At 46.3% G+C, this 24167-nt stretch overlaps 1 pseudogene across 1 annotated transcript in view, besides 1 other annotated feature; it reads right to left on the reverse strand.

Annotated features, from left to right (window-relative positions):
• The window catches only part of FAM169BP (family with sequence similarity 169 member B, pseudogene), a 77175-nt pseudogene extending 67656 nt beyond the window's left edge, over positions 1-9519 (reverse strand). The window contains exons 1-2 of the transcript NR_171054.1: positions 9476-9519; positions 8940-9019 (exon numbers count right to left, since the gene is read on the reverse strand). The product of NR_171054.1 is annotated as a family with sequence similarity 169 member B, pseudogene (transcript). The remainder of the gene's footprint in view (positions 1-8939; positions 9020-9475) is intronic.
• Positions 8273-8455: a silencer, noted in NCBI's record as "fragment chr15:99056319-99056501 (GRCh37/hg19 assembly coordinates)". NCBI's record gives its function as "represses an EF-1alpha promoter that drives an FKBP-Casp9 reporter gene in an ReSE screen in HepG2 liver carcinoma cells {active_cell/tissue: HepG2}" and the evidence as "EXISTENCE:reporter gene assay evidence [ECO:0000049][PMID:32094911]".
• Positions 9520-24167: the final 14648 nt, after the last annotated feature.

Consider the following 24167-nt stretch of genomic DNA (forward strand, 5'->3'; position numbering starts at 1 on the left):
CACCTTTTAGGGCCCAACGAAAACAAATCTCTCTGTTCCTAGCACGGGGCTCCTTTAGGTTGTATGAGAAGTGGCTTGGGTCACTACTCAACCTGGGGGCCACCTAACACTGGCCAAACATCCGTGGCCACATGGGCACCTCAGCTGCCCAGAGACGCAGGTATTTAAATAAAGCCTGAGTTTCTGGCCAGAGCTCTTTTCCCTCAAACTGTCAAACCTACTTCAGCAGGGTTCTGCCAATGTGGAGGGTGGGATTTGACCTGCCTCGGACTGACGTTTCCCTTTGCATGATCCAGAAAGAAAGCACAGACTAAAATATAAAGACGCTATGTCCACATGCTCATGGCAGGCATATTTACAGGGTGCCTCCTAACCAGGTGGTCCCTGAAGCAGGCTCCGGGAAATCTCCACTCTGCATCCTTCGTGTTCATGAGTCTGCGGGGCCATCACACTTCAAAGCCAGAAAAATTGCAATCACCGCTCCACACGCCAAAACCCAGACTTCACTAGGTCAGCGAGCCTCTCCCCATCTCCCACCACCCCAGTTGTTTTTCATTCTTTTCACTAGATATACACAAACTGCCCTCATCCTGCTAGTCAGCACTGCACTGCACCCATCCATCCCACCAGAGGGCCCAGCCCCTCCCTTCAAGGCCCACCAGCAGAGACCAGGAGCTGCTCTAGCTGGGCCCCCTTCTAGGAGTCCCAAATTCACAATCCCCACCCGCTTCCAGCCCTCCATCCCTGACCCATCCCCAAAATCTGGGCAGCCTGCACAGCAGAGAGGAGCAGCTCAGACAGGACCTCCTGGCCCCAAAGAAGTTCCCTGAGGTTCCCTCCCAACCACCACCTGCCCCCGGCACAGCCCAGAGAGGGTCTGGCCACAGCCCCACCATGTCGCAATCTCCCGGCCCAGGACAGCCATGCGGAAGGCAGGCTACACCAAGGCTCTGGTTTCAGCTGAATGTTTGCCTTGGCCCCTGCTGTCCCTGTAGGCTATAACGGGCATGCTTTTCCAGGAAAAAATCATCATTTTTTGATTCTCTGCTTGTTTTTCTCCGGGTGCACATGCTGTGCAATCACCAAAAACTGTAAATCAATTAGCAGCCATTTGAAGGGTTAGTGCTATGCTTGGTCACAAAACGTCCTGGGAGTTGGCTGGAGGGATAGATGTTCTAATCAGGGAAGGCAACAACTGCAAACACTATTGCTTCAGCCTTCCTTCTCCCTCAGTGTCTTGATTTCTGTTTCTTAGCCCAGCTGCCTCCCCATCCCACATCTCCCCCATGGAGAGACCTAACTAATATTTACAAACACCCTCTGGGGATGCTGGCAACCCAACAGAGCCCAGAAGATCTAAGTGGCAGGACCCCTCCCTTCAGAGAGGTTATAATCTACCAAAGAAGGTCAACCACAGGCAATGACCAGGGCTAGGAATAGCAACAGGTGATAACTGCAAGGTGCTATGCCCCACAACGCAGACACGCCTACGGCACAGGTTCCCACCCAGGTGGAGGATCCAGGCCCAGACTCCTCCTCCCGCTGCCGAATCTTACTTCCCCCTGCTTTTGCTATTCCCCAGACCCTTCAGATGGGAGCTCAGGTTGACCTTGCCCTGTGCTTTTTCTCCTAGATAACCGAGCATGGCTGGTACCACCACCTAGCCACGCTGAAACCTTCCTCACCATTGCTTTCAATCCACTCCATGTGTCTCCAACCTGTGCCCCCTGCCAGGCAAGCCCCCAGCATCTCTGCCGAGGTTGCCAGCAGCCTCCCCAAGATTCACTGGCATGTCCTTCCTTCCAATCATGGGCAGGGCATTTTGCCAAGGACTGAAGATACAGAGCCAGGATCCCTGTCCCCACCCCATCCTCCATAACATCACCAGGCTTCTTTGGAAATCTCCGCTTCCTTTCAGCACTCCTTCTGCATGCCCCCCAGGCAGCCAAGGGCTGAGAGCAAGCAGGGAGGGCCTGTTGCTGCAGGTCCACAGCCCCTAGTGCTGGGGACAGAGCCAGCCTCTGTGAGAGCCAAGCGCGGGCACCACCACTGAGTCTGGACGCCAGGAGGCAGAGCCAGAGGTCCTGAGGAAATGGGCAGTGGGCGGTGGATAACTTATCTGGTTTCACACCCCCGTACCGGCTAGACTGCCACTTCCCTGCCAAGAACCAGGGAGGGCTCCCAACTGCTTCCAGCAATACCCAAGAGCCTCCTTACTCCAAAACCTTCTGCAGCACTGTGGCATCATATCTTTGTCATTTTACTCAATTATAATTTTTTTTTCCTTTTTCTAAAACATTTGATGACAAAAGTTTTCAAACATTTGTTACAGTGGACACCCACACACTCACCACCTAAATCTACCATGAATATTTTATCATCCTTACCTGTCTGCCTATCTATCTATACCTCTCCTATCATAGGTTTAATTTTAATTTTCGGGTCTTTACTCTTTAGTCTGTACATGCTGAAGCTAATCAGTTGTGAATTCCTGTTGCCACAGAGGTTTCCAGAAACTTAAATCATGAGTAGAAAGAAATTTTGTATTCATTTTTATATTATGGGTGTGGATTTTAATTTTATCTCATTTGGTTTTTTTACATGTAATTCCTCAATCCGTTTGGAGTTTATTTGGGTTGTTGTATAAGGCAAGGGTCTTGCCTTTGTTTATTTCCCAAACAGCTGCATTTGACTGCATATCAATTACAGTTTGCCATTTTTAATCAGCCTCTGGAACATTCTTTGCCTTGCCCTCTGATCATCTGACTCCTGGGCTTCATATGAAAAAATAAAATAAAATAAAAGTTGTCAGAAAGAGAGCTGATAAGAGGAAATCTTACAAGACAAATCAGCAAGTTTCCTGACAAGTACAACAGGAAGACTCCATCTGGAACTAAAGGTGTGGCCCAGGAGCTTGCAGAAAAGAGGCCCATTCAGAAAGGGTCAGATGTTACGAAGGTGTTACAGTGGGGGATGGACAAAGGTGCCTGTAACTGAGTGCAGAGCCCCAGGCCTGGCACAATCCTTAAAGAATAAGGTGGGGAAGACCAGAGCACTGAGTAAGCTCAGGCAGGCTGGGAAACTGCTCGTGAAAACAGGGTGAGGGGCCCGGGTAGGCTGGCTGGACTTGGAGAGAACCTTGAGGAAGAACACGCATTGGCCAGATGCTCTAATGGTCACAGAGGACCATATTCACTGGAAAGCCAACTGGTCCCCAAATTAGGAATGGCTTGGAAACTGGAAATAGTGGATTAGAGTATAAGGCAAGGGTCTTGCCTTTGTTTTTCTGTTGTTGTTGTTTGGTTGGTTTTTTGTTTATTTTTTTATTATTATTATACTTTAAGTTCTAGGGTACATGTGCACAACGTGCAGGTTTGTTACATATGTATACATGTGCCATGTTGGTGTGCTGCACCCGTTAACTCGTCATTTACATTAGGTATATCTCCTAGTGCTATCCCTCCCCGCTCCCTCCACCCCACAACAGGCCCCAGTGTGTGATGTTCCCCTTCCTGTGTCCAAGTGTTCTCATTGTTCAATTCCCACCTGTGAGTGAGAACGTGCGGTATTTGGTTTTCTATCTTTGCGATAGTTTGCTCAGAATGATGGTTTCCAGCTTCATCCATATCCCTACAAAGGACATGAACTCATCCTTTTTTATGTCTTATCTTTGTTTATTTCCCAAACAGCTGCATTTGACTTCATATCAATTACAACTTGCCATTTTTAATCTGCCTCTGGGACATTCTTTTAGAGATTTGCTCCTTTTAGAGATGCTCAAGTCTCTAGACCCAGTGAATTCACATCCCAAGGAGCAGAACCTGTGAATGTGATGCTGAAGTTGAAATCCACTCTCTGTAATTATACAGTGACAGGAATGGCCAAAAAGACCAAACATGAACCAATGCTGCCCCAGTGCATAGGGGGATAACATCAGCCTTAGTATTAATGCCTGGTTCTCCTAGCATCCCCTCCTGACAAAGGTCCAGAGTGAATTGTGAAAGATGGTCTATAAGGACCAAGAAAAGAAAGACTGGACTTAAAATCAGTATGAATTCCCCAAAACCAGATGATACAAAACTGACCTCACCTCCTTTTCTCAGAGTGTTCCCAGACTAGTGTTAGGAGAACAATTAAACATAAGTCATCTTGGTTTCAGCAGCCAGGTTTCCCTCCACTCTAAATTTCAAGCATTCATTTCATAAAGTCTCTTGAAATCTTTTTGTGGATGAGCCAGCAATGTGTGCTAAATAATGGGTTGAGTGTGTTTTTAAAGGTATAATAATTGCATGAATAATGATCAGCATTTTTTTAGGTACTTGGATTACAAATAAAGAAAGCACACCATCAGGGCTGGGCATGGTGGTTCATGCCTATAGTTCTGGCACTTTGAGAGGCCAAAGTGGGAAGATCGTTTGAGGCCAGGAGTTCAAGATCAACCTGGGCGATATAGGGAGACCTTGTCTCTACAAAAAAAAAAAAATTAATTAGCCAGGTGTGATAGTGTACACATGTATAGTCCCAGTTACTCAAAAGGCTAAAGCTAGAGGATTGCTTGAGCCTAGGAGCTCAAGATTACAGTAAGCTATAAGCTCCATAGCCTGGAAAAGAGAGTGAGATCCTATCTTAAAAAAAAAAAAAATGAATGCATGCCTTCAAAGGACACAAGCTATACAGTCAGAAGAAAGAGCTAATATAGCTGGATGGAAGGACCCACTCTTTAAACACAATGAAATAATAGACCCAAGAAAAACATAATCAGAAAACACAGGCATAAATCTTCATGACCTTGGATTAAGTAATGGTTTCTTAGATGTGACATCAAAAGCAAACACAACAACAAAAAAATAGATAAAGTGGACATCATAAAAATTAAAAACATTTATGTGGCACATATACACCAGGGAATACTATGCAGCCATAAAAAGGGATGAGTTCATGTCCCTTGTAGGGACATGGATGAAGCTGGAAACCATCATTCTGAGCAAACTATCACAAGGACAGAAAACCAAACTCCACATGCTCCCCCTCATAGGTGGGAATTGGACAATGAGAACACTTGGACACAGGGTGGGGAACACCACACACCGGGGTCTGGGGTGGGGGGAGGGGGGAGGGATAGCACTAGGAGATATACCTAATGCAAATGACGAGTTAACAGGTGCAGCACACCAACATGGCACATGTATACATATGTAACAAACCTGCATGTTGTGCACATGTACCCTAGAACTTAAAGTATAATTTAAAAAATTAAAAACATTTGTGCTTCAAATGATACCACCAACAAAGTGAAAAGACAACCCACAGAATGGGAGAAAAATTTTGCAAATCATATAGCTGATAAAGAATTTGTATCCAGAATATATAAAGACTAGATTTTAAATCTCACAACTCAATACTAAAAAGACAAATAACCTGATTTTAAAATAGCAAAAAATAAGAATAGACAGTTCTTTAAAGAAGATATACAAATGGCCAATAAACACATGAAAAGATACTCATATCATTAGTCATCGGGGAAATGCAAATCAAACCCACACCCAGGGACACCACTTCACACCCACTAGAATGGTTATTGATTTATTGCCAATAATAAGTGTTGACAAGGATGTAGAAAAATCGGAATCCTCAAACATTGTTGAAGGAAACACAAAATGTTGCAGTGGCTTTGGAAAACAGTACAGATCCTCAAAAGGTTAAACATAATTACCGTATGATTCAGCAATTCATCCCACTCCTGGGCTCCCAAGAGAAATGAGAACACATCCCCAATGCAAAAACTTGTACACAAATTTTCACAGTGGCATTATTCATAGTCCAAAAGTGGAAATAATCGAAGTGTCCATCAACTGATGAATGGATAAACAAATGTGATGTATCTGCATAGTGGAATATTATTCAGCCCTAAAAATGAAGGAAGTACTGAAACATGCTCTAACATGGATGATCCTTGAACACATTATGCTATGTGAAAGAAGTCAGGCACAAAAGGGCATATATTGTATGATTCCATTCATAAGAAATGTCCAGAATAGGCAAATCCATAGAGAAAGTAGATTAGTGGCTGCCTGGGGCTGGGGAGGGTAGAAGGATCGTGATAGATGAAGGGAGTGGGGTTTGTTTTAGGGGTAATGAAAATGTTCTGAAACTGATTGTATGATGGATGCACAACTCTGTGTATGCTAAAAAACATGAACTGTAAACCTTAAATAGAGGAATTATATGGTATATGAATTATATCTCAATAAAGCTGTTATTTATATATAGTGGAATAAAGATAAGTTCCTATCTTTAGGTTTGAAACATCAACTACACAAACTTTGAAAGAGAGTGATGTCTTAATAACAAGTTCATGTGGAAAGCCCAGGGCCGGGCACGCAGGTGGTGAGTGAAGTGTCAGGTGAGTCAAACTTGGGCAGGAAATGCCCAGTTAAACTGAGGCTAGCTTTGTGGAAGCAAAATGTCCAGTCCAAGAAGAGTGAACACTTACCCAACCACCACTCTAATCTCACGGTTCTCTAGACAAGCATTTCGTAGCCTGCAGTGTGCCTGCAAATCGCCTGGGGATCTTGTTAAAGCCCAAGTTCTGACTCTAGGTCTGGGGTGGGGCTTGAGACCCTGTATTTCTTTCTTTCTTCCCTCCCCTCCCCTCCCCTCCCCTTCCCTCCCCTCCCTTTCCCTTTCCCTTTCCTTTCTTTTTTGAGACAGAGTCTCTCTCTTGTCGCCCAGGCTAGAGTGCAGTGGCATGATCTTGGCTCACTGCAACCTCTGCCTCCTGGGTTCAAGCGATTCTCCTGCCTCAGCCTCCTGAGTAGCTGGGATTACAGGCGCCCGCCACCATGCCTGACTAATTTTTGTATTTTTTTAGTAGAGTCGGGGTTTCACCATGTTGGTCAGGCTGGTCTTGAACTCCTGACCTCAGGTGATCCACCCACCTCGGCCTCCCAAAGTGCTGGGATTACAGGCGTCAGCCTCGGCACCCGGCTGAGATCCTGTATTTCTAACCAGCTCCTTGGTGATGCCTTGCTGCCGGGCACAGGCCACGCTACCGAGTCGCAAGGCAGGAAAATAAGGCTCAGAGACACTCAGGAACTTCACCAGGGCCACCCGCTCCTAAGGGTCAGAGCCAGGATCTGAACCCAGGACTAACTTACTACAAAACCCAGGTGCTTCCACAATGGCACCCATGACACAAGTTCTGACGTCGTGCTAAAAGAAGCCTAGACCTGAAAGAGGGACCCAGGGTGCGACAAGCTCTGCAGCCTGTATCCCAGGAGAAGCAATTGGAGACTGAGAGATGTGTGATCTGGTGGAGGGGAGGACTTTGAAAATGCAGCACACCTGAGTGGAGAAGCCATGCCCACCTACCTGGATGACCCCACGCGAGGCACAAGGCCAATGGAGAGGCATATGGCCCTATCAGTTTGGGCTCCTCATGAAGAATGTTCTAACAATCAGAGCTATCCCAGAATAGAACAGGCTCCTGGGGGTGCAGAGGCCCAGACCATAGGCCAGTGCCTCCCAGAAAACACTTGTGTGATTTTGACACATCTGAACACCACCTGTCCTCTTATTAGCCCTGCCATAAATGAGGCATCATTTGCTATAATTATAAAAATACCTTACAAAGACAAAACATAGCATTCTAGCTAAGGGTACTCAGCTGGGAGGCCTACTCTCTTTTTTCAAAAATAAAAAAGGTGATTAAAAAGTGTTAGTCAAGCACTAAAGGCATATTGGCAGGAAGCAAAAACGTTTTCCTCAAAATATTGAAAATTAAAACCCAAAAGATTATCCTTTTCCTCCGTCTGAAATTCAGCCGCACCTCCTTAAAATCATCTTGGAAAACACTGGACCTAATGACCTCAACACCCTTTCAAACCATGAGTTTCTAGACCCCTGCATTCCTTCTCTAAAGTGAAATAGCCCTAGTTTCTTCAAGCGTTGCTCAAAAGGTTCCAAGTCCTCTCATCCATCATCCCCATTACTCTCCATGGATAAGTGCTGTTTGCTTCCGTCACAGCCTGAGCAGCACCAAAGAAAACTGAGCTATAACTGAGCTGGACCTATCCTTCCATTAGTGCCACATCGCGCCTGCCTTAAGGCTCACCTGATGAGAGCCACAGCCTCTTGACCCAAGGGGCATCGAGACACATCCGCTCCAGCCCATCCCTGATCAGTCGGGGCTTTTGGATGGACTGCATGACATTTATACAAGGAGGCAGTTTGGATCAGTATAAGGAACAACTTTCTGACAATTAATAAGAATCCAAGAAGAGGCCGGGCGCAGTGGCTCAGGCCTGTAATCCCAGTACTTTGGGAGGCTGAGGCGAGTGGATCACTTGAGGTCAGAAGTTCGAGACCAGCCTGGCCAACACGGTGAAACCCCATCTCTACTAAAAATTAGCTGGGTGTGGTGGCACACGCCTGTAATCCCAGGTACTTGGGAGGCTGGGGCAGGAGAATCGCTTGAACCCAGTAGGCGGAGGTTGCAGTGAGCCGAGATCGTGCCACTGCACTCCAGCCTGTGTAACAGAGCAAGACTCCATCTCAAAAAAAAAAAAAAAAAAATCCAAGAACAGTAGCTCAAAAACAGACTCAGATTGTCCCTGGGGAAGTCCCCAAGCAGAATCTGCCAGGGTGGTGATTCCAACTGCCAAACTTTCACCAGAAGCTACAGAACAGGCCCCCCACTCTGAAATCCATACTTTTCTAGCACAACACGCAAAGACAGAGGAGGAACAAGCCAGGGTGCACTTCCTGGAGGAGCCCGGGAGTCCTGCAGATTTCATGCCTAGGCTCTGCCCTGGGATGGTCCAATGCATCAGATTTCCTGCCATAAATAATTTCATTCTCACGACTGTCTTGTGAAGTAGGTAAGCTGTTTCCATTTTGCAAATGATGAAACCGACTCTCAAAGAGGTTAAATAACTTACCCCCTCTGCCAGTCAGCTGGCAGAGCCAGGATTCCAAGTCAGCTCCATCTGACGTCAAAGTCCATATTCATCCTATTATGCTGCACAGGACACAGGAAGAAATGAGAAAAGCTGAACGTCATCATCTGATGTCAATCTTGAAGGCTAGGATGAGTGGTTTTGATTTTACACGGAAGATCAGAAAAAGGCCCCAACTTTTTTGATGAGAGAAGTTTTTTTAATATGTATAAACATTTGAGATCCATTAATAATTAACAAATGAGAATAACAAAAGGAAATAAATGAAGTAACAAATAAGGAGACATAAGTGGAAGCTGAAGTCCTTGCAAAGGCACGGGAGCAACCTAGGAAAGGGGGTTCCTGGCAGCCTTCAGCCATGTCCCCTCAAAGAATATAAACCAGCCTCTGTCCAGAGAAGCATCCAGAAAGAGCCCGCCAGGAGCCACGGGGACAAGGGCACCTGCTCTCACCCCTGCTCCATGGAAAGTGCAGTCACAGTTTCTTAAAGGGGAAAGGTGGAAAGCTTCATTACTTACCTCGTAACAGCAGACTGCCACCACGAACGATAACCACTTGCCACAGGGGAATTCACAATTCCAGGATGTTTTTCATTTGCTTGCGGAGTTATCGGAAGTGACTGTGATGGGTTCAACCACCTTATCAATAATTAACTCATACCCAGGGCTTATCAAACAGCTTCTGACTCCTTTAGCTTCCATTTAAACACACAAACACACAAACACGCACGGCCTTCACAAATAGAACTTCTCCAAGAAAGTGGCAAAGGAACTAGTGATAGCATTCTCCACGGTCACAGCTAAGCATAGAGGGGAGGTGACACATTTGTCAAAGCTGTGAAGAGGGTCCCTGATAGCATCGGCTGCTGCACAGTCCACATGCTTCAAGCCACAAGACATGCTCTGGAAATGTGCGATGTGTTTGGGAAAGAACTCGTGTCTGCTTCCAAATACCGGATTAAAGAGCGAGAGCGTGGGGCTCCAGGAACACCTGAGTGCTTTTTTTGAAACCATGCAAAATCACAGCCAACACAATTGAGCCCACAGCAGTAGGAAAACATTTTGAAACGTTATTTAAAGTGCTATTATATATAACGAATGGTCCATAGTGAGATGTCTTGGAGCTTATGAATATTTATTATAGTACATTCTTGAAAACAACAAAAAAAATTAAGTCCAATACAAATGAGAAACAGATTTATAAGAGTCAGTCATATGTTTACATTATGCAAATTGTAGTTAAAGACCTATAACCAGAATATTGTTAAATGCCTAAAAGGGGGTGGTGGGGCAGCTGATATGTGAGCATTTTCTTAAAATGGGCAAACAATATTCTTAGAGTTTTTGACAATCTGTGCACTGAAGGGTTCATGTGGGTACATCTTGGTACTTTCAGCGACTTGGTGGTGGAGTCACAAATCCAAGGCAATATCAAAGGCCTGAGGTTCTCATAGGTCCCCTGTTCACAACAGCCAAAGCTCCACCGGACAGAGGTAGGAAGCACCCTGAACCTCGACAGAAAGCTCTCACACACATCTCAGCCACCTCCAGCCCTGAAGCAATGAGGAGGCTTTGCCTGCATGCTGAAAACTCCCACACAGCTGGCTAAGCACACTTGAGTTTCACGTTTAGCAAACACAGAGGCCTTGAGGACGTGCAGAATAGCTTGCCCCAAAGATGTCACCTTGGGCTTTGTGACACGCACTATGCGGGGCATCCTCTGAGTACAGGTCCCAGACAGACATGCAGGTGACAGGCAAAGGTCTATGTCTAAGGAAGCTGGAAGCTGAAGGAGGCCCCCATTTGCAGATATAGTAAAAGATCCATAACCCCAAACTTTCACCAGATACCACATCATCGAAGGAGGGCGGACCAATAGCATTAGTCCGTTTTCATGCTGCTGATAAAGACATACCCAAGACTGACTAATTTATAAAGAAAAAGAGGTTTAATGGACTCACAGTTCCACATGGCTTGGGAGGCCTCACAATCATGGTAAAAGGCAAAAGGCCTGTCTTATATGGCAGCAGGCAAGAGAGAATGAGAGCCAACCAAAAGCGGAAACCCCTTACAAAACCATCAGATCAGCCAGGCAGAGTGGCTCACGCCTGTAATCCCAGCACTTTGGGAGGCCAAGGCAGTCAGGATCATTTGAGATCAGGAGTTCAAGACCAGCCTGACCAACATGGTGAAACCCCATCTCTACTAAAAATACAAAAAAAATTAGCCAGGCGTAGTGGCACACCCATAGTCCCAGCTACTCGGGAGGCTGAGGCAGGAGAGTCGCTTGGGCCTGGGAGGCAGAGGTTGCAGTGAGCTGAGATCACACCATTGCACTCCAGCCTGGGTGACAGAGCAAGACTATGTCAAAAAAAAAAAAAAAAAAAAAAAAAGGCTGGGCGCGCGGTGGCTCACGCCTGTAATCCCAGGACTTCAGGAGTCAAGGCAGTTGGATCATTTGAGGTCAGGAGTTCAAGACCAGGTTGGTCAACATAGTGAAACCCCATCTCTACTACAAACACAAAAATTAGCCAGGCGGTTGTGCCACATGCCTGTAATCCCAGCTACTTGGGAGGCTAAGGCAGGAGAATCGCTTGAGACCAGAAGGTGGAGGTTACGGTGAGCCAAGATCGTGATGCTGCACCTCAAGTCTGGGCAACAGGGTGAGACTCTGTCTCAAAAAAAAAAAAAAGAAAGAAAGAAAAAGAAATGCACACGTTCTCTGGGCCCTACAGGCCCAGTCTAGGCTCCCTGTCAGCCCTGGGACAGAGAAGCTCAACTCTGAGCACTTGTTTGTTATATGAGACAGAAACCAGTGTCTCTAATACTGAGATTGTCCCAGAGACTTCTCTGAAGTGCCCACATCCAAAGCCCTCTTTGTGGTCATCAAATGAAAAAGGTCAATGTGCTCTGGTACCAAGTCTGTTTTGAAAACCAAGAAAGGTATAAGAAAATTACAAAAGAACACATTGGCTGAGCTGGGCAGCCAGGTTGCTTGTTAAAAGTTGATAGCGGCCAGGCGCAGTGGCTCACGCCTGTAATCCCAACACTTTGGGAGGCCGAGGCGGGTGGATCACCTGAGGTCAGCAGTTCAAGACCAGGCTGCCCAACAAGGCAAAATCCCGACTCTACTGAAAATACAAAAAAAAAAAAAAAAAAAAAAATTAGCCGGGCATGGTGGCCAGCGCCTGTAATCCCAGCTGCTCGGGAGGCTGAGGCAGAGGAATCGCTTGAACCTGGGAGGCGGAGGTTGCAGTGAGCCGAGATAGTGCCACTGAACTCCAGCCTGGGTGACAAGAGCAAAACTTTGTTTCAAATAAGTTGACAGCAGGCCTCCACAGTTTTAGAGAATGATTTCTTAACAAATCTTGCAACCTATAAATGTCTTGGTCTTTGGCGTCACTTTAATGAAGAGTCCCCAAGCTGGCCCTCCCGAAAGGTGGTGTGCAACATGGTTCATCCACAAGCCAGCTGTTACGGGCCATTAAGCCCAAAATTTACAAAGCACTGGATCAACACAGAAAGACAGTTGAGTACAGTGGTTCATGCCTGTAATCCCAGCACTTTGGGAGACCTCAGTGATCACTTGAGCCCAAGGCTTTGAAAGCAACTTGGGCAACATAGTGAGACCCCATCTTTACAGATAATAAAATATTAGCTGGGCGTGGTGGCACATGCCTGTAGTACCAGCTACTTGGGAGGCTGAGGTGGGAGGATCGCTTGAGCCTGAGAGGTAGAGGCTGCAGTGGGCTGTGATCACACCACTTTACTCCAGGCTGGGCAACAGAGAGAGACCCTGCCTCAAAAAAAAAAAAAAGAAAGAAAAAGGAAAAGGAAAAGGAAAAGGAAAAGGTGCTTGTTATAAACCACATTATATTCAGAGAGTAATCTCACCCATGTTTTTTTTTTTTTTTTTGAGAGGGAGTCTCACTCTGTCGCCCAGGCTGGAGTGCAATGGTGCTATCTTGGCTCACTGCAGGCTCCGCCTCCCATCACCCATGTTTTAAGAAATGCAAAAATACAAAAGTCAAAAGCAAACACATCAAAATGCTCACAGCAGTTAACTATGGATGATTTTATTTTCTCCATCCTTTGTAACAGTTCCTAAATATTAAACGACGAGCATGTACTAGAAAAATTGATAAGTATTAATATTATTGTATCTTAAATGTGATAGGACAATTTCAAGACTGGAAAAGAGTTAATTATCAAAAGGAAATATTTTTAGGAGGACCAAAGTGAAATGACATGATGTATGTTCAAACCACTTCCTTATCTTTCTTTTTGTTTCGAAAAACTTCTCTGCATTCAAAAAGAAAAGTTAAACCTTCTTTTCTTCTTTAAGCAATGAGGAGGTCCAATATTACTCCAAATTAGACTATTTCAACATCCCGAGTGGCAGGAGACGGCTCCCATTTCTTTCTTTCTTTCTTTTTTTTTTTTTTTTTTTTGAGATAGAGTCTCTGTCTGTCGCCCAGGCTGGAGCGCAGTGGCGAGATCTCAGCTCATGGCAATCTCCACCTCCCATGTTCAAGCGATTCCCCTGCCTCAGCCTCCTGAGTAGCTGGGATTACAGGCACATGCCACCACACCCAGCTAATGTTTTGTATTTTTAGTAGAGCCGGGGTTTCACCATGTTGGCCAGGATGGTCTGGATCTCCTGACCTCGTGATCCACCCGCCTCAGCCTCCTAAAGTGCTGGGATTACAGGTGTGAGCCACCGCGCCCGGCCTCCCATTTCTTATTAACTACAAAAATAGTAAAATAGTAGGAAATCAAATGATTGTTTTCATGAAACTTTCTTTTTCTTTTTTTTTTTGAGACAGAGTTTCACTCTTGTTGCCCAGACTGGAGTGCAGTGGTGTGATCTCGGCTCACTGCAGCCTCCGCCTCCTGGGTTCCAGCAATTCTCCTGCCTCAGCCTCCAAAGTAGCTGGCATTACAGGCACCCACCACCACACCCGGCTAAATTTTTTTTTTTTTTAATTTTTAGTAAAGATGGGGTTTCACCATGTTGGCCAGGCTGGTCTCGAACTCCTGGCCTCAGGTGATCCGCCCGCCTCTGCCTCCCAAAATGCTGGGATTACAGGCGTGAGCCGCCGCACCCAGCCAAAACTTCCTTTTTTTAGAAAGGGAAAAAGGAAATAGGTATAAAGTCATTTCGCATTCCTATCACATTAAAACAACTTAATTTTAGTAGCTGTCTTATGCTGTCACTAATAACACTAAAATTCTTCACTCACTGAGTATTCTACATATTGGGGCGGGGTGAAAGTAATGTAATCCATAAATATGTGTGAAATACATGCAGATGATTGAAACTCCATCCTAAAGTACTTCAGGGCTAACTCTTGTAATTCTCCCCACTTCCGAGATGACCTAGCACCCCCACACTCCATGCAACTCTGCCCCTCACCACGCTGGCTCGCTAAGACAGCCGCTAGCCTTGACCGAGCTTTTAAAAGTCTTTTTGGCTTAATAGCCACTAGGGGGCGCTAGAAGCGTGTGAGGAAAGCGACCTCCATCTGCAGATCAAAAACGTGGAGGGTTTTGATCACAGATGAGCGCTGGATTCTTCAGGGAATGACTGCGAGCTAGCATCTCCAAAATCTCAAGGAAGCCACACAATAAACTGTACAAGTCATTGTTTTCATTAACTCAGGAACAACTTCAGTGCAGAGAAATAAAACCCTGTCTTTCTCAACCAACTTTGCCCACCAGATAACAATACCTGCTGTGAGTGAAATTGTATCCGTATAAAACAAGAAAACTTTGTCTCTTTCAACAGATCAGACTCAAATCTGAAAGAAAGGTAGCTGACATAGGTATTGACTAAAACTTACATATTCTTTTTACTTACTGCAGGGAGGGAAATAAAGATCTTAAAAGTAACACAATTTTAATATTTCACCCACAATCCTACTGTCCTAACAAATGGTTTTCATTTCTCTCTGTTACTTTTCAGTCCCTACTCAAAATGCATAGAATTGCATCAGTGCCAAAAATCAAAATTGATATAACTTCATTCCACATCACAAAGTTTTGGAACTGAATCAAACCTCGGAGATTGAAGACCAACCAATCCCCTCATTTACAAATGGGGAAACCGAGGTAGCTGGGCATAGCACACAGTATCTCACTTAATTCTCATAACAACACTATAAGATATGTGCTGTTATTGTCCCCAGTCTAGAGATGACAATACCGAGACCAGAGAGGTTAAGACACTTGCTCAAGGTCACACAGCTAGTAAGTTAGTGGTAGACATTCATACAGGCTTTCTGGCTCACTGCCTGGCAACTCTGGACGGACACTCTGGACTCCAGAATCCCAATGCAGGATTCATTCTGCCTCTGAGGGTGCACTTATTCTAATACTCACTCCAGAATGGTTTTTTTTTTAATCTATTATATTCTTTCAATAACATTCTACTCTGTAAATTAGATTTTACAGAGCTCTTCGCCAAGGAAGATCACGTATACCTTCTCCCCAGTGGGAAGACAGAAAACCTCAGCTGGGGCCCCAGCTCCTTCCCTAAGTGAGGCATGGTAAGCCAGAGCTGCTTCCTGTTGTGCGTCAGGATCATCTTCCAACACATCTACTGGATACATGCCTGCTGGGGTGAAAGAGGCAAGAAAGGACATTAGTTTTACTCTTTTGTGAAAGGAAAGTCACTTATTCCTTGAGGAGTTTTTTAAAAAGTGAACACTTGGGCCAGGCACAGTGGCTCACGCCTGTAATCCCAGCACACTGGGAGGTGGAGGCGGGAGGATCACGAGGTCCGGAGATCGAGACCATCCTGGCTAACATGGTGAAACCCCGTCTCTACTAAAAAATATACAAAAAATTAGCCGGGCTTTGTGGCGGGTGCCTGTAGTCCCAGCTACTCAGGAGGCTGAGGCAGGAGAATGGTGTGAACCCGGGAGGCGGAGCTTGCAGTGAGCCGAGATTGCGCCACTGCACTCCAGACTGGGCAACAGAGCGAGACTTCGTCCCCAAAAAAAAAAAAAAAAAAGTGAACACTTGCTCTAAAAATTATGTTCACCTATTTTTTTTTCTTTTTTTTAGAGACAGGGTCTGGCTATGTTGCCCAGGCTGGACTTGAACTCCTGGGCTCAAGTCATCCTCTGAAGTAGCTGGGACTATAGGCACATTGCACCTTGCCTGGCTCACCTATTTTTTTTAAAAATTAAAACAAACAAACAAACAAAAAGCAGCCCAGCAGAGGGTACCAAAGAAAATAGAAAACATTCCTGATGGCAGGGTTGGCCCCAACCCCAAGGAGATGAAGCGTGAGCCCTCTTAAGATGGCTGTAGAGTCAGCCTAGAGACCATGCAGACATGCTGGTACCCTGAGCATGAGACTAACGGGATAGAACTTGATGACTTGGTCAAAATCCAGCTTGAGTTATTATTTTGCTAGCTTACATTGGCCGTGCAGGTTCATAAGATTATGCCAATTCTTCTGCTTTAATTGGGCTAGTCTTTGTAAGACTCTGTAAGAACACTGCTAGTATGAATTATAAAACTACATGTCCACACACAGACGGGCTATCGTACATATTAATGTGCTGGTTATTCGTCAACTCTTCCTCTGCAGCTCTTTCCTCTCACCTTACTTTTGAAGGTAAATTATATCCTTGAATACTCAGATGATGGTTTTGTGTGTGTGACAGGTCTCATTCTGTCGCCCAGGCTGGAGTACAGTGGTGCGATCTTGGCTCACTGCAACCTCGGCCTCCGGGTTTCAAGCAATTCTTGTCCCGTAGCCTCCCAAGTAGCTGGGACGACAGACACGCACCACCATGCCTGGTTAGTTTTTGTATTTTTAGTAGAGCCAGGGTTTAACCATGTTGGCCAGGCTGGTCTTGAACTCCTGACCTCAAGTGATCCACCTGCCTCAGCCTCCCAAAGTGCTGGGATTACAGGCATGAGCCACCACACCCAGCCAGCTAAAACAAATAGATAGCATCCAACTTCAGCTGAGAAGCAGCAGTCTGTTTCCCACTCTGCAGAGACCAAAGATTCTGGCTGGCATGTCCCCAAGTGGGGAGGGGGCTGTATCCCCAATCTGTGGACCCCACCTCAGCCTCCAATTCACCTCTGAGCATCCCATAGGGGAAGGAGGCTGCCACAGCAACTGCCTCCTCCTCCTCCTCCTCCTCACCCCCGCCCCCCCAAGATAAGCCTGGACGTAAACACCTACTTGGTGCCCCTTGTGGAACAGCAGCTTCCCCTGCTTGTTTCGGAAGCACCATTCCCCCTGCCAATCACTATTCTGGAATCAAAGACTGCAATAAGTGGCAAAAAGTGTCAAGTCTTCAGTCCACCAAGTTTGCCTAGGAAGAATTTCACTGCTGGGAATAGCTCCTGGAGGGAAAGGCTCCTAACTTTGGGAGGATGTCAACAGCTTCAGTGGGCCAGAACTCAGCCTCTGCAGAAGCCTCACCTCCTTGTCCCCCACCTTCCAGGGTGAAAATGTCATGGGCATACAGAGTGGTAAATAAACAGCTGAGTAAACACATTCTTTCAGCCCCCTGGCCTGAACCTACAAGCCTTCCCTACGCCTTACTGGGCCCTCCAGGTGCACAGCTTAGGAGCCAAATGGATCCGCGATGGCACCCCAGTTCCTTCCTCAGGGACCATTCAGATCTGCCATAAACACCAAGCTGAGCCTGCACCCCCTCTCTCCCATCGTCCTGACACCACCTCTCTCCCATCGTCCTGATGTGCATCCCTTAGCTCAGGGCTGCAGCATCTTTTCTTTTTCTTTTTTTTCTCTCTCCCATCGTCCTGACATTCATCCCTTAGCTCAGGGCCACAGCATCTTTTCTTTTTCTTTTTTTTCTCTCTCCCATCGTCCTGACGTGCGTCCCTTAGCTCAGGGCCACAGCATCTTTTCTTTTTCTTTTTTTTCTCTCTCCCATCGTCCTGACATTCATCCCTTAGCTCAGGGCCACAGCATCTTTTCTTTTTCTTTTTTTTCTCTCTCCCATCGTCCTGACGTGCGTCCCTTAGCTCAGGGCCACAGCATCTTTTCTTTTTCTTTTTTTTCTCTCTCCCATCGTCCTGACATTCATCCCTTAGCTCAGGGCCACAGCATCTTTTCTTTTTCTTTTTTTTCTCTCTCCCATTGTCCTGACATGCATCCCTTAGCCCAGGGCCACAGCATCTTTTCTTTTTCTTTTTTTTAAGACAGGGTCTCACTCTGTCACCCAGGCTGGAGTGCAGTGGTACGATTTCAGCTCACCGTAGCCTCAATCTCTCAGGCTCAAGGTCCCCTCCCTCCTCAGCCCCCCAGGTAGCTGGGACCACAGGTGCAAGCCACTATGATCAGATAATATCTGGTGGTGGTGGTGATTTTTTTTTTTTTTTTTTAGAGATGGGGTTTTGCCATGTTGGCCAGGCTGGTCTCAAACTCTTGGACTCAAGCATTCCACCCACTTCAGCCTCCCAAAGTGCCGGGATTACGAGCTTGAGACACCGGGCCGGGCCCTCGGCATCTTGTAACAACTATCTGCTCCATCCGTCCATCCGCCCTCCCTCCATCACCAATTAAAATAACAGCAGCAGCTGATGTGCTTTCGGCTCCAGTTGCCAACACGATGCTGAGCACTCCACAGCCGTGACCTCACTGAATCCTGCTTAACGCATTCACAGAAGAGGAAACTGAGGCCTCTAGAGGATAACGCTTGGCCAGTAAGGGGCAGCACTGGGGCATGAGCCCAGGTCTATCTGATTTCAAAACCTGTGTAAAACATTCAGCTGGTGCTACTGACCGGATCAAAACAGTCCCCTTTACCAAGCTCAAATGCCATTTAAAAGTCCCAGGTCAGGCCAGGTGTAGTGATTCACGCCTGTAATCACAGCACTTTGGGAAGCCGAGGTGCGTGGATCACCTGAGGTCCGGAGTTCGAGACCAGCCTGAGCAACATGGTGAAACCTCATCTCTACTAAAAATACAAAAAGTAGCTTGGCGTGGTGCCAGGCGCCTGTAGTCCCAGCTACTCAGGAGGCCGAGGCAGGAGAATCGCTTGAGCCCGGGAGGCAGAGGGTGCAGTGAGTTGAGATTGCACCACTGCACTCTAGCCCGGGCGACAAGAGTGAAACTGTCTCAAAAAAAAAAAAAAAAATCCCAGGTCCCTCCTCTGCCGTACCCAGGGTGCCCTATGCCCTCCGCTGCAGAGCTCTCTCTGCCTGTCCATCCTCAAGGCCCATCTCAAATGCAGCCAGCTCTCTCCTGGAGCCCTAAAACACAAGGGCAAGGACTCTGGGGGACACTGAGTCCTGTGTTCAGCCCAGGATAGGATGAGCACATGTGGGCCACATCCTCTGTCTTGCCGGACTCCCTAACTCACAGCTCAACTCTGTCTCAGAGCAGTCACTCCCCAACTCACAACAACGAGAGGAGCTGGGGCATGCCGAGTACAACACAGCTTCCCTCCCCTCCCCAGCCCACCATGAAGACCCCTTCCCGTGCTTTTCCCATACAAAGCATTCAGTCCATTTGGGTGGTTGTTCAACTAAGCTCTCTGTTGAAACTGCTATTCATTTCAACTCACTGGGCAAGTGGCTTCCCACAAGTCTGAAAAAAGATTCACTGAACGTTCAAAGAAATTAAGAAAAACAAACTGGAGAGAGGGCTGCTTCCACCCTGGGGCCTGCACGCATGCTGCATGCTCCTCCCATGGAAACCAACTTCAATAGCGACCTTTCTCAAAACACACCCAGGAACTCCAGTGTTAAGGGGCAGGGACAGATCTGATCTTGATTTTTACTTTCTGTCGCTGGCCCTGTGTTCTGGGAAAGATGTTTGTCAGATCTGGACCACCCGTCTCCTACAGCAAGGTTGCAAGTTCAACGGAAGAGCATTGATTGACCAGCCCCAAGAAGATGCTGACCTTGGCCCTTTGTGAATTGACCTCCTGCCAGCGGAGTGCTAAGACACTGTGATCATTTGGATTTGCAGGGAGGGGGGCACCTCACCCAAGGCCGTCAGGTCTGAGGCCTGGGTGCTCAGGGTCCTGCCTGATTCTTGCAGGAAGCCTAGACTTGCTTGGCATCATTTCTGGTCACGTGTGATCAGGAGAAATGCAGTGAATGTTTTGCTCCTTCCACACCATGAAATCGTTTCCCCTACAGGTTATGCTGTGGGGGCTGTCACACTCCCTCAAAGAACTCAGTGGACTCTGTCCCAGGGCACCACTGCCCCAGAGCTCTAGTGCCTGGCCACCCAAGAGGCCACAGGGACAGGTCCCTGGGGGAGTGTTCTCAGCACTGAAGCCACCAGGATCAGCAGACACAGCCCAGCTCAATGATCCCGAGAGTGGGGGCAGCATCAGGCTCACCTCCGGAGAGCAGGGTCCCAGAGGCCACAAAAATTAACCCTCTCAGACCACAGCAAACTGGGGGAGAGCTTAATGCTCATAAAGTAACGTGGCACCCAGAGGCTTGGTTCCCTTTTAAAGATTGAAAGCAGGACGCAGTCCCCTGTTTCCCCAGGAAGAAGAGCCACAGAGCAGGCACCAGGGCCACCTCTCCTGGGCCGTCCCTCAACCCAGCCTGGGTGACTGGTGACAAGGGATGCCAGACTGAGGCCTGCAGCTCCAACCCACACCAAGGCCGCAGGCTGCCCAGCGTTTTTTGTTCAAATTTGTTCTCTTCCCTGAGGGATACTTCCCTCTCACACGGAGAATGTTTGGGTTGGCTTTCTGGAAAACTGGGTGGGAGTGAAAAATAGCTGCTTAAGGCATGAGGGGAGGGGGGATGCAACACTCACTAGGAAGAAAGATTCCCCTCCCCACCCCCAGGAGAAAGAAACCTCCCTCATTACCCAAGAGGAAGACCCCTCCATCTCCATCCCAGGAAGAATGAACACACACACACACACAATGAACACACACACACACAATGAACACACACACACACACCCACACACACACCCCTGCCCTGGGAGCAAGGAAGCGCCTCTCCCCCGCTCAGAACCCCCTCACTCCCCGAAAACCCGCAAGGCTGAGCTTTGGGAAGTAAACAAGTCCCGGCGCTTTACGCAGGCGCTGGGGGCCCAGCCAGGCCGCCACACTCGCTTCGCTGGTGACGGGAGGCACAGGCTTCCAGATGTGAAACGCTAACAGGCTGTAATGGCTTGAACTGAACAGGAAATATTTTTCCAAAGCCAAAAGAATGCAATCTTTTCAGTACAATGTAAAATGCTTTTATGAAAAAGGCACACAGTTAAAACGATAATTCACTGCAGACTGTAAAGAAACTGAAACCCCCAGCAAACCCCAAATTGAAGAATTCCCTTTAAGCATATGTTGACGTAGTTACCTTAAAAACAAACATAATGGTACGTCTTAAGGTGTCCTTTAGGGAAAATGCTTAAATCATTCAGAATCTTCGTATCAAAGCTTGGGTTCCCAGGGCTGCAGCAATAGATCCACTCCCTCGGTCACTGCCTGTCCCATCAGCCACGACCGCGGCTGGGTCAGCCACTGCTGATCAGTCCAGCAAGGCCTAATGTCCAAGGCCCTTCCTAGCACCTTTTGGTCCTTCCTATGTAAACTGCAAGGTCAACTAATGAAGACCTTGAACGGGATCAATGTTTTGCAATTAATCATTGATTTAGTATCACTAGCAAAATATTCTCTTCAAAGACTACCTTACCACAAAGGTTAGCAAAATCTTTTCAGTTTAACAAATGTAATTTGTATCATATGGGCCCATTATTTTAAGAAACATTACCGAAGACATTTTACATTTTACTAGCCTCACTCTTAGAAACTTGGACTTTGCCGAAAGCCACTACCTGGCAGCAACTATGAGGCAGTATGTCATGGGAAAAGCTGGCTGAAATCACTTGATTTTTTTTAGTAACGTGGGCTGTCATTCTTCAACTACAGTACGAACAATTCTTGCTCTGGATAATGTGAACACATTTTTAAGGACACAAAATTATGAAGTAGTATTCAAGTCTTTTTGTTTAGTTTTCTTGTTTTTTTGAGGCAAGGTCTCACTCTGTTGTCCAGGCCAGAGTGCGGTGGTGCAATCGCGGCTCATTGCAGCCTCCACCTCCCAGGCTCAAACAATCCTCCTGCCTCATTTTTTAATTTTTTTTGTGGAGACAAGGTCTCACTACAGGCTGGTCTCAAACTCCTGGGCTCAAGCGATCCTTCTACCTTGACCTCCTAAAGTGGTGGCTGGGCTTACAGGTGTGAGCCATTGCAGCTGGCCATCAAGTCATATATATATACACACACATATATATACACATATATATATACACATATATATACATATTATATGTATACATATATATATACACATATATATACACATATATATATACACATATATATACACATATATATATACACATATATATACACATATATATACACACACATATATATACACATATATATATACTTTTTTTGATATATATACTTTTTTTTGATATATATATACTTTTTTTTTTTTGAGACGGAGTTTCACTCTTGTCACCCAGGCTGGAGGGCAGTGGTGCAATCTCGGCTCACTGCAACCTCCACCTCCCCAGTTCAAGCGATTCTCCTGCCTCAGCCTCCTGAGTAGCTGGGATTCCAGGTGCCCGCCACCATGCCCAGCTGATTTTTTTGTATTTTTAGTAGAGACAGTGTTTCACCATGTTGTGCAGGCTGGTCTTGAACTCCTGACCTCAGCTGATCCACCTACCTCGGCCTCCTAAGGTGCTGGGATTACAGGCATGAGCCACTGCGCCCGGCCTCAAGTCCTATTTTTAAACAATAGTTAGGAATAGATACTGCTTATAGAAAACCTTTTTTTATTTTTGTTTTTCTTTATTTTGTCACATAGGTGGCCTGTTTCTTTCTTCACAAATCAATTTTCTTGTAAAAGGAATTTATTATAGAAGAAATCCTTATTAAATAAGAAATCTGCCAGAAGTGGGGGGGGGGTGTTAAATGACTAATTTTGGGCTCAGCAGAGAGCATGAAAACTAGTTTCTAATCAGAAAGAGGACAACATCAGAAAATATAGGAAGCTTGTGGCAAGAGCTCTGCAGGGGTCTGAACCCAGGTGTTCTGCACACCCGCGGTAGCGGTGAAGCATCCAAAGGGAGAAGAGTTCCAAATGCCACCTCAGCAGCTCAGAATCCAGAACCAGAAATGTAGCAGGGGTCCTGATTTCTAGGAAGGTATGTGCTTCACAGCACAGTCCAGTCCCCAGAGCTGCGTGTTCTTAAGTTGTATGCCTTAAGAAAACTCAATACTCACAAATGCAAACTTCCTTCTGAGCCTCCAAACCTCACCACATGATGTTTTAAAACTCAGAGCTACTTTTAACTTAAAGTATGCTTATGTTTAACTTTTTTTTTTAAGGAGGGCTGTTGGATTCAGTAAGGAATGCCCACAGTTGTGCAAGGCAGTGCCTGGCATTTATTTAATATCAAAGAATCTGAGGTTTTGTGCAGTCATCACCACAGCCTCCCTGGTATCATGCTGGCCCTTTCCCAAGCGCATCTTCGGAACGCTAGCTGCACAAGCTATGCTTCAGATATCCTCATGAAAGGGGGTTTCTGAAGTCAGCAAGATTAGAAAAGGGTGGCATGCTGCGCCTATCAGAAATCGAGGACTTTTGGAAATCCTGCAACAACAGAGTTTGCTTAACTCAGCATTTATTTCCCAAATGTACTTAACTAGAGACGCTTTGTCCCAGAACGTTGACAGGTAACAAAACCACCTTGGAGAAGAGTGCTTTGGAATGATGTCACAGTGGGAGGACCCATCACTGTCAGACAGAAGGCAAACAGGGAAGCACCCGGAGTTCAAGGTCAGAGTGTAAGAACTCATGGCCATTTGAAAGAGCCATGGTGACAGCAGCACATCCCTCTACCCAGAGGAGGAGAGAACAGAAGGTAAGGCAAATAAACACTTGGATATTTTTGTTGTTTTTTGAAGAGCATCTGATTGCCAAAATATTCTTAGCAAAGAATTTTTTTTTAAGTTGGAAGACAGAATGTAGAATATGTTAGAATTTCTTGAGCAGATGAGCAAAATTGTCAGGGAAGGAGGAGGCGCTGCTGGAGGTCTGCAGGTGGTGGTGGCGAAGGTTCTATTACCCAGTAATTGACAGGCAGCCTGTTGATCTGTTATCAGGTATTTAGTATTGGACAACTTGCAACTTGTCATTGCCTTGACTGAGAATAAATCAC

The sequence above is a fragment of the Homo sapiens genome, chromosome 15 (genome assembly GCF_000001405.40).
Source record: "Homo sapiens chromosome 15, GRCh38.p14 Primary Assembly".
NCBI classification, from domain to species: Eukaryota; Metazoa; Chordata; class Mammalia; order Primates; family Hominidae; genus Homo; species Homo sapiens.